Here is a 15734-nt window from a genome sequence, read left to right as displayed (position 1 = left end):
TTGAGACAGCGTCTGGCTCTGCCGCCCAGGCTGGAGTGCAGTCACAATCCTAGCTCACTGCATCCTTGAACTCCTGGGCTCAAGCAATCTTTCTGCCTCAGCTTCCCAAATAGCTAGGACTACAGGCACATGCCACCATGCCTGGCTAATTTTTAAAACATTTTTTTGTAGAGATGGGGTCTCTCTCTGTTGCCCAGGCTAGACTCAAACGCCTGGCTTCAAGCAATCCTCCTGTCTCAGCCTCCCAAAGTGCTGGGATGACAAGTGTGAGTCATGGTGCCTGGCCACATTTTCTATTTTATTTCATGTTTTAAAAGATGCTGGTGTGACCCCTAAATTGATTTCATGATCCACTAGTAGGTCTTTTTTTTAAAAGACAGAGTCTTGCTCTGTCACCCAAGCTGGAGTACAGTGGCATGATCATAGCTTACTGTAACCTCGAACTCTTGTGTTCAAGTGATGCTCCTCCTGTGTCTGCCTCCTGAGTAGCTGGGACTACAGTTGCATACCACCACGCCTAGCTAATTGTAGTTTTTGTAGAGACAGGGTCTTGCTGTGTTGCCCAGGTTGATCTCGAACTCCTGGCCTCAAATGATCCTCCCACCTCGGCCTCCCAGAGTGCTGGGATTATAGGCATGAACCATCACACCTGGCCCCACTAGTGGGTCTTGACTTGTGTTTTCTAAAAATACTGTTTCTGAGATAACCAGCTCAACTAGATAACTGTGGGAGAAAAAAAGAAGTAAAAATAAAATCTAGGTACTTGGGCTTGCAAAGTAATTGAGGAAAAAGAATATACAATTAAGGAATAGTATAAATGAGAATACAAAATGTTAAACTTGTTGTAATGACTGACAAGGGACTAAAGCATGAGCTGAAAATGTGAATCCTATTTTAGGTAAACAGAAGTGTCTCTACTACTATGAACATAACAATTTTAATATTAGAGGAACATCAAATTGTCAGCATGTAACTATGATTAATATTGTGTCATTTAATACACATTAGAAAAAAGAGCCATAGATCTTAGCTCTAAAAGGGATTTTGAGTTTATCTGATTGAAGCAAATCTAAGTATTCACATTTTATGGATGAAATAACTGAAGCCAGCAGAGGTTAAGTGACTTGCTAATGCTATATACCTAATTGAGGATGAGAGATTGCGGTGGGGTGGGAGCAGAATAGCTTTCAGATCTCCTACTTCTACATTTTTCACTTACTCTTAAAGAACAGAAATGAGCCAAGCACAGTGGGTCACGCCTGAAATCCTAACCCTTTGGAAGGCCAAGGTTGGGGGTTCTCTTGAGTCCAAGGTTTTGAGACCAACCTGGGCAACATAGCAAGACCACACCTCTTAAAAAAAGGGAAAGGAAATGTTTTAGCATGTTTTAATCTATAATGTATTTTTTTACAGGAAGATATTCCTCGTCAGCTTGTCTACATTGGTCTTTACCTCTTCCACATTGCTGGAGCTTACCTTTTGAAGTGAGTTGGGATATTTCATGGGTGTGTAAGTAGGCTGGGCAGATAGTATGCTGACCTGTCTTAATTGATAATTAATATTCCCATTTTTAATTTGCTCTTTTAACAGCTTGAATCATCTAGGACTTGTTCTTCTGGTGCTACATTATTTTGTTGAATTTCTTTTCCACATTTCCCGCCTGTTTTATTTTAGCAATGAAAAGTATCAGAAAGGGTAAGTTGTTTAGCCATTCTATTTCTCGTGTACTAGGTATTTAAAGTCAGTGCCTAACATTGCCAAGATCCATGCTTTAGGCCATTATATTAACTTTTTAAGCGATCAGTAGCCGCTTTAAATAAAACGAAATTATTTAGCAATTCAGACTTTGTATTTTACTCTCTAAAATGGAGGCTTTCTCAGCTAGAGAGATACTGTATTGTATCTTGCAATTTTGAAGGCTTCTTGGGTTTACTTTTCTGTTATAACTTTTACTTTGTTTGTTGCATGGTTTTTCTTTTGGAGGAGTGATAGAGAAGTGAACTCTCAGAAGAAAGTGAAACAATAGATAATTAGCCTTATAGATAACTAAAATATATTGATGGTGAAATTGAACTGAAAACAGAATTGGAGAGGTGTAACTTGTAAAGAGTGCAAAGTTGTCTTAAAAAAAGTAAAACTGGGACTCTTTTTTTATTATTTTATTATTATTATACTTTAAGTTTTAGGGTACATGTGCACAATGTGCAGGTTTGTTACATATGTATACAAGTGCCATGTTGGTGTGCTGCACCCATTAACTCGTCATTTAGCATTAGGTATATCTCCTAATGCTATCCCTCCCCCCTCCCCCACCCCACAACAGTCCCCAGAGTGTGATGTTCCTCCTCCTGTGTCGATGTGTTCTCATTGTTCAGTTCCCACCTATGAGTGAGAACATGCAGTGTTTGGTTTTTTGTCTTTGCGATAGTTTGCTGAGAATGATGGTTTCCAGTTTCATCCATGTCCCTGCAAAGGACATGAACTCTTCATTTTTTATGGCTGCATAGTATTCCATGGTGTATATGTGCCACATTTTCTTAATCCAGTCTATCATTGTTGGACATTTGAGTTGGTTCCAAGTCTTTGCTATTGTGAATAGTGCCGCAATAAACATACGTGTGCATGTGTCTTTATAGCAGCATGATTTATAATCCTTTGGGTATACACCCAGTAATGGGATGGCTGGGTCAAATGGTATTTCTAGTTCTAGATCCCTGAGGAATCACCACACTGACTTCCACAATGGTTGAACTAGTTTACAGTCCCAGCAACAGTGTAAAAGTGTTCCTATTTCTCCACATCCTCTCCAGCACCTGTTGTTTCCTGACTTTTTAATGATCACCATTCCTAACTGGTGTGAGATGGTATCTCATTGTGGTTTTGATTTGCATTTCTCTGATGGCCAGTGATGATGAGCATTTTTTCATGTGTTTTTTGGCTGCATAAATATCTTCTTTTGAGAAGTGTCTGTTCATATCCTTTGCCCACTTGTTGATGGGGTTGTTTTTTTCTTGTAAATTTGTTTGAGTTCATTGTAGATTCTGGATATTAGCCCTTTGTCAGATGAGTAGGTTGTGAAAATTTTCTCCCATTTTGTAGGTTGCCTGTTCACTCTGATGGTAGTTTCTTTTGCTGTGCAGAGCTCTTTAGTTTAATTAGATCCCATTTGTCTATTTTGGCTTTTGTTGCCATTGCTTTTGGTGTTTTAGACATGAAGTCCTTGCCCATGCCTATGTCCTGAATGGTATTGCCTAGGTTTTCTTCTAGGGTTTTTATGTTTTTAGGTCTAACATGTAAGTCTTTAATCCATCTTGAATTAATTTTTGTATAAGGTGTAAGGAAGGGATCCAGTTTCAGCTTTCTACATATGGCTAGCCAGTTTTCCCAGCACCATTTATTAAATAGGGAATCCTTTCCCCATTGCTTTTGTCAGGTTTGTCAAAGATCAGATGGTTGTAGATATGCAGCATTATTTCTGAGGGCTCTGTTCTGTTCCATTGATCTATATCTCTGTTTTGGTACCAGTACCATGCTGTTTTGGTTACTGTGGCCTTGTAGTATAGTTTGAAGTCAGGTAGCATGATGCCTCCAGCTTTGTTCTTTTGGCTTAGGATTGACTTGGTGATGCGAGCTCTTTTTTGGTTCCATATGAACTTTAAAGTAGTTTTTTCCAATTCTGTGAAGAAAGTCATTGGTAGCTTGATGGGGATGGCATTGAATCTATAAATTACCTTGGGCAGTATGACCATTTTCATGATATTGATTCTTCCTACTCATGAGCATGGAATGTTCTTCCATTTGTTTGTATCCTCTTTTATTTCATTGAGCAGTGGTTTGTAGTTCTCCTTGAAGAGGTCCTTCACATCCCTTGTAAGTTGGATTCCTAGGTATTTTATTCTCTTTGAAGCAATTATGAATGGGAGTTCACTCATGATTTGGCTCTCTGTCTGTTATTGGTGTATAAGAATGCTTGTGATTTTTGTACATCGATTTTGTATCCTGAGACTTTGCTGAAGTTGCTTATCAGCTTAAGGAGATTTTGGGCTGAGACAGTGGGGTTTTCTAGTTATACAATCATGTCATCGGCAAACAGGGACAATTAGACTTCCACTTTTCCTAATTGAATACCCTTTATTTCCTTCTCCTGCCTAATTGCCCTGGCCAGAACTTCCAACACTGTGTTGAATAGGAGTGGTGAGAGAGGCCATCCCTGTCTTGTGCCAAAAACTGGGACTCTTAAATGAGAATTGGGCATCCTGTTCTTTATAACACAGCTTTTTTGGTTTGTTTTGTCCAGCATTTTCCAAAATTATTCTGAATACTAGTAGTTCTGAGGAATATTAATAGTTCTTATACAAGAAAAGAGATAAGCTAAACAGAAAATTAAACATTTATTTCCTGGATTGTTTTAGAAATTTAAATAGGCTAATATGTGTTATATCTCTCTGAGTGTGATATATAGCCTTTCCCAGATATTTGACTCAAAATTCTTTTTTGCAGAATAAGAAATGCTATTTTAATAGGCTTTTACTTAATAGGAATCTAGTTTCTTCTTTATTTATTTATTTATTTTTTTGAGATGGAGTTTCGCTCTTGTTGCCCAGGCTGGAGTGCAGTGGCGCAATCTCTGCTCACTGTGACCTCCACCTTCTGGTTTCAAGCAATTCTCCTGCCTCAGCCTCCCAAGTAGCTGGGATTACAGGCGTCTGCCACCACGCCCAACTTAGGAATCTAATTTCTAATAGAATCTTGTTTTTGAGATTTCAGGAATTTGACTTACGGCCTTTTTCTTGCAGATTTTCTCTGTGGGCAGTTCTTTTTGTTTTGGGAAGACTTCTGACTTTAATTCTTTCAGTACTGACTGTTGGTTTTGGCCTTGCAAGAGCAGAAAATCAGAAGCTGGATTTCAGTACTGGAAACTTCAATGTGTTAGCTGTTAGGTACGATCAATTTAACATTTTTTTCACTTTATACAGCTAGATAATATATATTATCAGTTTCTCTACATTGAATCATCTAAAAAAGGATGAATATGAGGTTGGGGAAAATACTCATTTGATTTTATTTCATACCCGTTGCTATTTTACATGTCTAAAGTGAAGTACTAAAGCATTTAACTTTTAGGATAAATTATTAATGCAATGATTATTAATACAATTTTCTCAACTGAGTGGGAATTATTACTAAATACTATGAAAGATGATAGAATGTATTCAGTGGCATTGTTTTTTATACACTAACTTTTTATGTCTTAATATTTCTTAGAATCGCTGTTCTGGCATCCATTTGCGTTACTCAGGCATTTATGATGTGGAAGTTCATTAATTTTCAGCTTCGAAGGTGGAGGGAACATTCTGCTTTTCAGGCACCAGCTGTGAAGAAGAAACCAACAGTAACTAAAGGCAGATCTTCTAAAAAAGGAACAGGTTTGTATTCAGTAAGCAATGAAAAACTCATGGAAGTAGAAAACTTTTAAAAAATTTGTTGTTGGATCTTATTTATTAGTTTTAAGGTGTCTTATAAAGAAAATACTATTCTGCTTTTCAACAAAATTAGAGGCAAAGTAATCTTACTGCATTCCACAATTGGGTGATCCCTTGGGTGAGGAAACTCAGTTACTCCCCTCAAAAGCTGTCCATCACATTTCTCTTTAACAAGTTTTCCATGCTTGGTTACCTTGAGCTACTTTAGACCAAACTTTATGGGCAGGTTTAAACTAAACCTGAGGATGGTAGTTTGTTTTCAAGCATCTTATTCACATTTTAAAAAGCTCTTCACAACCTCTTCCCATCTGCCCATTTGTCCCAAGTGGAATAGCTTTTTTTTTATAACTTCTGATTGCTTGATTCTTTGTCTTTAAAGCCTTCATTTAACCTCTTTTTTCCTTATGGTTTTTGCAAAAATTGAAAATGCATCGATATTACAGTTAATTTTTTCAGTGTGTATGTGGTATTAGGCTTAGAACTATAACACAGGAAGTTTTTAGAGTATGTCCACTCTGGTTTACTCCTTTGTAAGTATTAATACCTGATAATTTACATCCTCCAGCCCTGCCTTTTTTTTTTTTTTTCAAGTTTGTCCCAGCAAGTCTTGGCCCTTTGCATTTTCTTAATACATTTTAGTACAACTTGATCTAGGTGCAGTGGGGGGTGCCTGTAGTCCAGCTATTCAGGAGGCTGAGGCAGGAGGATCACTTGAACCCAGGAGTTCAAGGTTACAGTGCACAATGATCATGCCTGTGAAGCCCTACTACACTCCAGCCTGGGCAACATATGCCTCTTTAGAAAAAAAAAAAAAAAATTATACAACCTGGTCAATTTCCACAAAAGTTGCTGGGATATTAAGTTGAAATAACATCAAATCTGTAGATCGATTTAGGGATAATTGACTATTTCAACCCATTAACATGATATATACCTCTGTTTATTTAGGTTGTCTTTAATTTCTCCAAGTAATATTTTTAATAGCTTTAATGGGATGTAATTCACATAAAGTTTACCCTTTAAAGTATACATTTCAGTCATTTTTAATGTATGTTCACAAAATCGTGCAAACCACTATCTAATTCCAGAATATTTCTATCACTGCAAAAAGAAACCCCATGCCCCTTAGCATCACTTCACTTTGCCCCCTTCATTCTGCTCCGGCACCCTCTAATCTATTTTCTGTCTCTAAGGATTGGCCTTTTCTGGACATTTCATGTAAACAGAACCATGTGATATGTGGTTTTGCAAATGGATAATGCTTTGAGGTTCATCCATGTCATAGCATATAGAAAGACTTCATTTATTTTTACAGCCAATTAATATTCCATTGTATGGAACCTTTTGGATGGATGTATACCATATTTTGTTTATCCATTCATCATTTGATGGATATTGAGTGCCTTTTACTTTTTGGCTATTATGAATCGTGATGCTGTGAACATTTAGGTGCAAGTTTTTGTTCAAACATGTGTTTTCATTCTCTAGGGTACATACATAGGAGTGGGATTTCCGAGTCATGCGGTAACTATGTTTAACATTTTGAGGGAACTGCCAAACTGTTCTTTGAAGTGGTTATACTATTTTACACTCAGTTTAGCATCTTGATACTCAGTTGTCCCTGTGCCATTTGTTAAAAAGACTCCTTCACTTGAACTGTCTTGATACCCTTTTCAAAAATCATTTTTAAGAAAAGTTTATTTCTGGATCATGAATTCTATTTCATTTATTCGTATGTCGATTCTTATGCCAGAACCACACTATCTTGATTACTGTAGCTTTGTAGTAAGTTTTGAAAGCAGGTAATGTGAGTCCCCATTGTTGTTGTTCTATTTTATGTTTTGGTTATTCTGGGTTTCTTACATTTCCATATGAGTTTTTATTTAAGTGACGGGATCTTGCTATGTTGCCCAGGCTAGACTTGAACTTGTAGGCTCAAGGGATTCTCCCATCAGCCTCCCAGGTAGCTGGGACTACAGGCATATGCTGCCTTGCCCAGCCATTTTAATATGAATTCTATAATGAGCTTGTCAGTTTCTGCAAAAAAGCCAGCTGGGGTTTTGGTATGGATTATCTTCAATTTGTAGGTTGCTTTGCAGAGTATGAACATGAATGTCTGTTTATTTAGATCTTTTAATCTCTTTCAATTATATTTATCAGTGTATACATCTTGCAGTTCATTAAATTTAATCCTATTTTATTCTTTTTGATGCTGTTGTAAAATAGAACCATCTTCTTAATTCCATTTTCAGATTCTTCATTGCCATTGTATATGAAATACAATTCACTTTTGTATATTGATCTTGTATCCTGCAACCTTGCTGAATTTATTTATTCAAATAGGTTTTTTTTTTTTTGGTGGGCAATCTGGATGCTTTCTATTGCATTTTCTTGCCAAATTGCCCTGCCCAGAACCTCCACAACAGGTGTTGAATAGAAATGGTGAGAGCAGACATCCTTGTCTTGTTTTTGATCTTAGGGGTAGGCATCCATCCAGTCTTTTACCATTAAGTATGATGTTAGCTATGGGTTTTTCATAAATGACCTTTATCAGGTTGAGGAAGTTCCCCTCTGATTCCTAGTTTGTTTTTATCATGGAAGGTTGTTAGATTTTGTCAATTGCTTTTTTTCCTGCATCTATTGAGATAACCTTGTGGGGTTTTGTCATTTTTTTCTGTTGGTATTATAGATTAGATTGATTTTCAGATGTTAAACCAACGTTGCATTCCTGGGATAAATTTCACTTGGTTATGGTGTATGATCCTTTTTATCTCTTGATGGATTTTGGTATGCAAGTATTTTGTTCAGGTTTTTTTGTGTCTGTATTCATAAAGGATAATTGGAGTATATTTTTCTTGCAACATCGTTGTCTGGTTTTAGTATCAAGATAATACTGGCTTCATAGAATGAACTGGGGAGTGTTTTTTCCTTTTCTGTTTTTTGGAAGAGTTCTTCACTTGATCTTAGCCAAAATGCCAAGAAGCAATGGAAGAGTTGTTGAAGGAGATATTTTATAGGTTTCTGTATAGGGATCTCATACATTTTTCATTAAATTTATTCTCAGGTATTTTCTTTTTTAAGCTAATGTACATGCTCTTTTTAAAAAACAGTTTTAACTATTTGTTACGTAGTAGTGCCATTTGTTTTCTTTAAGATACTATCCAGGTACTGAAAAAAGTCTTCCTAATTCACTTATTCTAAAGTTTACACTAAAATATACAGTTACAGCGTCTATAAATATTATACCTTTTCATTTTCTTCCTGTATTACACTAGCTAGGACTAAACCATAATATTCAATATAAGAAATGAATACTCTTGTTCCTCATATAAGAGGGAGACCTTTCGGTATTTCATTATTAAGAATGGTCTGTAGATGCCCTTTATTCAGTTCTCTTCTGTACATCATTTACTAAGAGTTTTTGTCCATGACTTGTGGAATGTTAAGAAATGCTTTTTCTGCAAGATTTAGTTAGTCATAGAGTTTTTCTTTACTCTATTAATGTTGTGAATTGCATTGACTACATTGACTATCAATGTTAAAATAATTCTGCATTTCTGACATGCATCCAAGTTGGTGATAATACAGTTGTCTCCCTGGGGGAATACATTCCAAAACCCCCAATGGATGCCTGAAACCAGGGGTAGTTTCAAACTATATAGTTACGTGCTAAATAATGACATTTCAGTCAACAGCTGTACAACATATGTGTATACATGACTCATTTATGACACTGGTCCTATAAGATAATGCTTTATTTCTCCAATACCATTTCTATGTTTAGATATGTTTAGATACATAAATAGTTACCACTGTATTACAGTTGCCTAAAGTATTCCATACAGTAACATGCCATGCAGATTTTTAGCCTAGGAGCAATAGGCTATACCATATAGCCTGGGTGTGTGGTAGGCTCTACCATCTAGATTTGTGGAAGTACATTCTGTGATGTTCATACAATGATGAAATCGCCTAACACATTTCTTAAAACATAGCCTGTTAAGTGATGCATGACTGTATATACTATGTTTTCTCCTAATTAGCTATGATAAAGTTTTATTTATAAATTGGTCACATATAACAGCATATTGTAGCAAAAGTTAATTGAATGTGGTATTTTTCTCTCTCAAAATATTATACAGTACTCATCTATTTTCAGACCATGGTTGACTGTGGGTAACTGAAACCGTGGAAAGCAACACTGCAAATAAGGGGAGACCATTGTACATCACTTTCGCTGAATTCCCTTTTTCAGTATTTCATTAGGATTTTTGCATCTTTGTTCATGTAATAATAGATCAGCCTGTATTAGCCCTTTTTTGTAATATGTCAGATTTTGACCTCAAGGTTGTGCTGGCTGTAAAGAAAGTGTTGGGCAGATTTGTCCTTTGTGTAATATCAGCATTATTTATTATTTAAGTGTTTGGAAGTGTTCACCAACTAAGCCCTCTGACCTAGAGTCTTCTTTTTTTTCGAAACAGGGTCTTGCTCTGTCGCCCAGGCTGGAGTGCAGTGGCACGATCTTGGCTCACTGCAGCCTCAACCTTGTGGGCTCAAGCAGTCCTCCCACCTCAGCCTCCTGAGTAGCTGGGGCTACAAGCACATGTCACCATGCCACTACTTTTTGTGTTTTTTGTAGAGATGGGATTTCACCATGTTACCCAGGATAGTCTTGAACTCCTCTACCCAAGTGATCTGCCCACCAGTCTCAACCAATTGGCTGGGCACCCAGCACTTTGGGAGGCTGAGATGGGTGGATCACTTGAGCCCAGGAGTTCAAGACCAGCCTGGGCAACATGACGAAACTCTGTCTTTACAAAAAATACAAAAATGAACCAGGCATCGTGGTGCATGCCTGTAGTCCCAGTACTTGGGAGGCTGAGGTGGGAGGATCCCTTGATCCTGATGTCACCCTTGGGGTGTCACTTCACCAGCTGGAAACCTTTTTGGCTGGTGGCACCTTCTGCCTGAGTATTGCTTGCATCCGCTGGGCTCATTCCACCCACTTGGCCTGACAGGCTGTGCTTGGCTTAAGCTACCGGCCCAGATCCTACACCTGTCAAGCATGAGCCAGACGTGGAGCAGCAGGGGGTGTGTGGGCAAGCACACACAAGGTCTAGCCACTGCGCACAGCCAGACACACAGGCTGCTGCCACGGGGCAGGCAGCTCTAGGCACCAGCAGGTGCTGGCTCTGTGTGAGGCTGCAGCTGGACCAGATGTACTGCATGCGGCTTCCGCTGCAGGGACCCATGACTGGACAAGGGGAGTGTGGTGGCATCTCCAGAGCTTGGAGATGGTGGGAACCACTGAACCCCAAAGAGGGTGTCATAGCCCTGGCTCAGGGAGCCCCTAGATCTGGGCTTCCCAGAGGAGCACAGCTCTTCTCTCTTTCTTGTCATCCACAACGTGGTGAGCAGAGGGGCATGTTTCAGCCTTGTTTGTGCTATAGCCCTTTCAGTCCCACCATTCAGCAGGTCCCAAGTTCTTGTCCTGCATCCAGGAAGAATGAGGTATGCAGACAACTGGAGGGTGAGCAAGGCAGAGAGGAGGTTCATTGAGAGGCAGAACAGTTCTCAGGAGACCTGAAGTGGTTAGCTCCTATCCACAGTCTCATCATCTGCCCAAGTCTGGCTGAGTCCAGGATTTTTATGAGCTTCAGGGGGGAGGAAGTGCATGCTGATTGGTCCATGGGTGGGCCCAGAAAACACTGTAAGTTCTCACTCCAGTCCATGGAACTGGTGGCCTGGCCCCCAGGTTTCAGGCTGTCCCTGGCTTGAAGAGGGGGGCTTCACCAGGGCCCACCCCTTTCTGCCCAGGAACCTGTCTGCCTCCTGCTGCCATCAACCTGCCATCCGTGGTGCCTAGGCTGGTCATGCCAAGGGGTGCCTACAGACCCACACCAAGCTGCCCTCAGCCCCCCTCGGCCTCCCTCTCGTGCTCATCAGCACCCAAAGTCCTGACAGGGCCAAGGGAGCAGGGAGCTGCCTTGGGAACTTTGGACCTGCTGAATGGCGGGACTAAAAGGGCTATAGCACAAACAAGGCTGAAATATGTCCCCCTGCTCGCCACGTTGTGGATGACAAGAAAGAGAGAAAAGCCCCCAGATCTAGGGGCTCCCTGAGCAGGCATATCAGTGCTGCTCTAATCCCAGGGTCAGTCTCACCTTCACTCCAAAACTAGCAGACGCCAGGAGCAGCAGAGTGGCCAGGCAGTGGGAGCAGGCACTTCCAAGCCTGCAGAGGTAGTAGGGCTTCCTGAACACCGAAGAACTACAGCTGGGTGGCTGCCACTGTGCCCAGGAGTGCGGGACTCCCACCACTCCAACTTTGAAAGGGATGGGGCTCCTGCTAGCTATGTGGAGCACACAGCCCTGGATGCACCTCTCACACTACAGCCAATGTCATGGCAGTAGCCACTCCACAGGGGCTGCCGCTGCCATCACTGAGAAGTGGAGGTTGCAGTGAGTGGAGATCATGTCACTGGACTCCAGCCGGGATAACAGAGTGAGACCCTGTCTCAGAAGAAAAAAAAGATAATACTATTGTTCACATTTTCTGTTTCTTAGTCGTTTCTCTTTTGGTAAATAATGTTTTTCAAGGAATTTGTCTAGTTCATATAAATTTGCAAATACATCGGCATAAAATTATTCATATGACTTTCGTTATCCTGTTAACACCTCTAAATCAGGAGTGATTCCTGTTTTTCATTTCATGTTGTTAGTAACGTAAGCCTTTTATCTTTCCTTCCATCAGTCAAAACCAACATTTGTCTTTTTGTGTTGATTTTCCTAGTTGTCTCTTTTCTGGATCATTGATTTCTATTCTTTCCTTTTCATTGGGTTTAATTTGCGGTTTTGTTTGTGATTTACCTTCTTGAGATGGATCTTTGGAGCATTGATTTGTATCTCTTGTGAATTACATTCAGTTAATGGTAAACTTTTCCTTTCAACACTGCTTTAACTGTATTTCACAAGGATTTTTTGTTTTGTTTTGGGGTTTTTTTTTGTGTGGTTTTTTTTTTTTTTTCTTTTTTTTTTAGATGGAGTCTAGCTCTGTTGCCCACGCTGGAGTGCAGTGGCGCGATCTCAGCTCACTGCAACCTTTGCCTCCCGGGCTCAAGTGATTCTCCTGCCTCCCAGGTAGTCAGGATTACAGGCACCCACCACCACAACCAGCTAATTTTTGTATTTTTAGTAGAGATGGCATTTCACCACGTTGGCCAGGCTGGTCTTGAACTCCTGGCCTCAGGTGATCCACCCACCTCAGCCTCCCAAAGTGCTGGGATTACAGGCGTGAGCCACCATGCTTAGTCTGTATTTCACAGGTTTCAATATGTCTTTTTCATTATTATTCAGTTCAATGATATCTGTGCTGGGATTCCACTTGTGCTGTGATTATAGGTGCAAGCCATTGCCCCCGCCTCAAACATCCATTTCTGTATGCAACTTTTGTATTTTTGGAGAGAGAGTCAGTCACACATACGCTACTCCATCATAGCTTGAAGAAGGCCATTACTATTAGCCAGGTGTGGTGGCACATGCCTGTAGTCCCAGCTATTTGGGAGGCTGAGGTCCCCGGGAGCATCACTGGTCCCCGGGAGTTCAAGACTGCATTGAGCCATGATCGTGCCACTACACAGCCTTGGTGACAGAGTGAGACCCTGTCTCAAAAAACAACAGTAACATAAATAAATAAAAAGAAGGCCATAATACACGCCTCCACATAGAAATTATCCTAAACACCAACTTTACTATATTGTAAACAAATATCCCCAAGGACTTCGCTGTCAAATGTGAAAAGTTTCTTTATTTCTACAGAAGGTATTTCTCTTGAATACTATTTTTAAATTCTTGTGACTTTATAGTTTTCTGTGCTGTCACTTTTTTCTGCTTTTAATAGTAGTTTTCTTTTAATTTGCTACTTTCAGTTCATTGTGTTAAAAATGTTACCAGGTTTTGTGATTGGTTAAATACTGGTAAGTAAATTTCACCTGAGTGAATTGGATTTTACATTTTCTTTTCTGAAGGTATCTTTACATATAAAGATTATAACTTGCATTTATTTATAAAAGAGAGTAACATGGATTCTTTTCTTTTTGCAGAAAATGGTGTGAATGGAACATTAACTTCAAATGTAGCAGACTCTCCCCGGAATAAAAAAGAGAAATCTTCATAATGAATTATAAACTAATTGATTAATGTCCCCAAAGAAATCTGCTTTCTACTATATCTTTCAGCATTAGAGATTTTTCTGTTCTTGAAAATACAGTCTGTGCTCTTTGATTTTTGCTATTGTACGGTTTCATGCATTTTTTTAAAGGGCATTTGAGGGGAGGATTATTGCTATGAATGAAAAAAATATTTTAGCTTAGACTAAGCTACCTGCCTTCAAAATAGTTTAGGGACCACCACCATATTTTATTTTGTTTTTATTTTTGAACATTTTTCTAATGATTTGGAGAGAAAACTATTTACAAAAATTCCACATATCAGTGATACAATTTCTTGCTGTCACCAATTTTTTATAATAGCAGAGTGGCCTGTTCTAAGAAGGCCATATTTTTTAAGTTATCTTTCAGGGTAACATGGAAATACTATAAAGTTGGATGTCAAACTTTAATATGTTTTCAGTGTTCTCTAATTTTTTGGAATTTTTGTAGACTTTACACCTGGAAAAAAAGATTTGTAAAATCACCGGAACAATTGTGTGCTTTATTTTATAGGTAGTGGTTATTAGTATTACATCCCCATTTTAAAAACAAAAACATAATAATCGTTACAACACGTGGAGTTTTACTAACATACATATTAAATCAAAGTATATTCTTAAAAGTACTTGTGAAGTAAAATCTTTCTTGTGCATTTTCAATACTTGTAAACTGGAAATCAGAAAATATTTACTATGAACAGGAAAATCTGACATATAGCCCTTTTTGATATGTTTATTAATAATGATTCTTAATGGGGCTCATAATAAGTTTAATATGCACAGCATCTTAGAAAAGTTTAACCTGCAAACACTTTTAAAACATAATGCCTACTTGATTTATATCTATAAAAAGACTGACAGGTAATTATATTTGGAAAACATTTAATGCACTAACTTTAAAGAAATTGAAAATTCAGGTGGATAAATAGTCTTACAAAAGACAATGTGCTTTATGTTATACCTATAGCTTTGGTCCCATCTTTAATTGAGAAACATTTATCTGTATAAAACATATTTTTGGATAAATATATATATATATATTTGTATCTCTACAGAAAGGCTCTAAAAAGCATTTGAGGAAAATATTTGGTTCCCTTTTCTATAATCATCCTTTAAGATTCTTATAGCTACATTTGGTTTATTCATCATATTTACAGTATATATATTGTTCTTTTCAGTGTTCACATCTTGTTCCCCATTTCTCACTTGTGTCACCAGCTGTTTGTGCCATTTTTAGTGTAAAAGTTGCAGACCTATTAGATCTGCAGTTTAAGTTGCCATGCTGCTAGGAAATTGTCCTTTTTCTTTCTAGCTGTTAACCTACTTCCTGGAAAAAGTAGTAGCTCTCTGTAGCATTATGGAGTTTCAGTGGAACCAAATTTTTGCCATTAAAAACTGGCATTATACTGAACTATACATTGAGAAATCAATCAAAATAAAAATTTTTACTTTCACAAGTTGTATCCTGGATGTTTCTGTCATTGTTGGTGTTTAGGCTATTTTGGTATATAACCTCATTAAAATGTACCATATTTAAAACACTTCATAGACATTCAGAATAACCCTTTTCAAAATTGTGTTCTGCAAATAAACAGATTTGTTCCACAGAATATTGGTGAGGACTACTGGGGGGATAGATGGTCATAACCAAATAAATCTGGGAATCACTGGATTAAACTAACCTAAAGGTGTCTCTTTATTATGGGACCGTTCAGTCCTTAATATGCAAACGTGTTTCCTGGTGCACCAAGAATGTTGGATATAATATGCAGTGTTTCCCACCTTATTTGCCTGTAGAATTTTCTGTTCACTGAATTACTATAGCACTTTGTTTTCTGCAGCATACACTGTGTTTAGGCAAAGAAAAAAAAAAGCCCTTGACATGTCATTACCAAGGGCTAATATATACACAGAAGCACATATACACACAAGTATGATTATAAATTATGAGCCCTACATCCTGCTCTCAAATGTGCTGAGGAAAGTCTGTACTGGCTTCCAGATCCTGCAGAGCCTGCCATTATCACCTGGGCTCAAGTCGAG

General features: G+C 38.5%; 1 protein-coding gene across 4 annotated transcripts in view; it reads left to right on the top strand.

Annotated features, from left to right (window-relative positions):
- The window catches only part of TRAM1 (translocation associated membrane protein 1), a 35199-nt gene extending 19827 nt beyond the window's left edge, over window positions 1-15372 (top strand). For all 4 annotated transcript variants that reach the window (NM_001317804.2, NM_014294.6, XM_047421636.1 and 1 more), the window contains 5 exons: window positions 1414-1484; window positions 1591-1695; window positions 4797-4940; window positions 5266-5426; window positions 13585-15372. In NM_001317804.2, the coding sequence (NP_001304733.1) occupies window positions 1414-1484; window positions 1591-1695; window positions 4797-4940; window positions 5266-5426; window positions 13585-13658 (555 nt within the window). In that variant the 3' untranslated portion in view covers window positions 13659-15372. The remainder of the gene's footprint in view (window positions 1-1413; window positions 1485-1590; window positions 1696-4796; window positions 4941-5265; window positions 5427-13584) is intronic.
- Window positions 15373-15734: the final 362 nt, after the last annotated feature.

Source organism: Homo sapiens, chromosome 8 (assembly GCF_000001405.40).
Source record: "Homo sapiens chromosome 8, GRCh38.p14 Primary Assembly".
Taxonomy (NCBI): Eukaryota; Metazoa; Chordata; class Mammalia; order Primates; family Hominidae; genus Homo; species Homo sapiens.
This window is presented reverse-complemented; position numbering and strand designations above follow the sequence as displayed.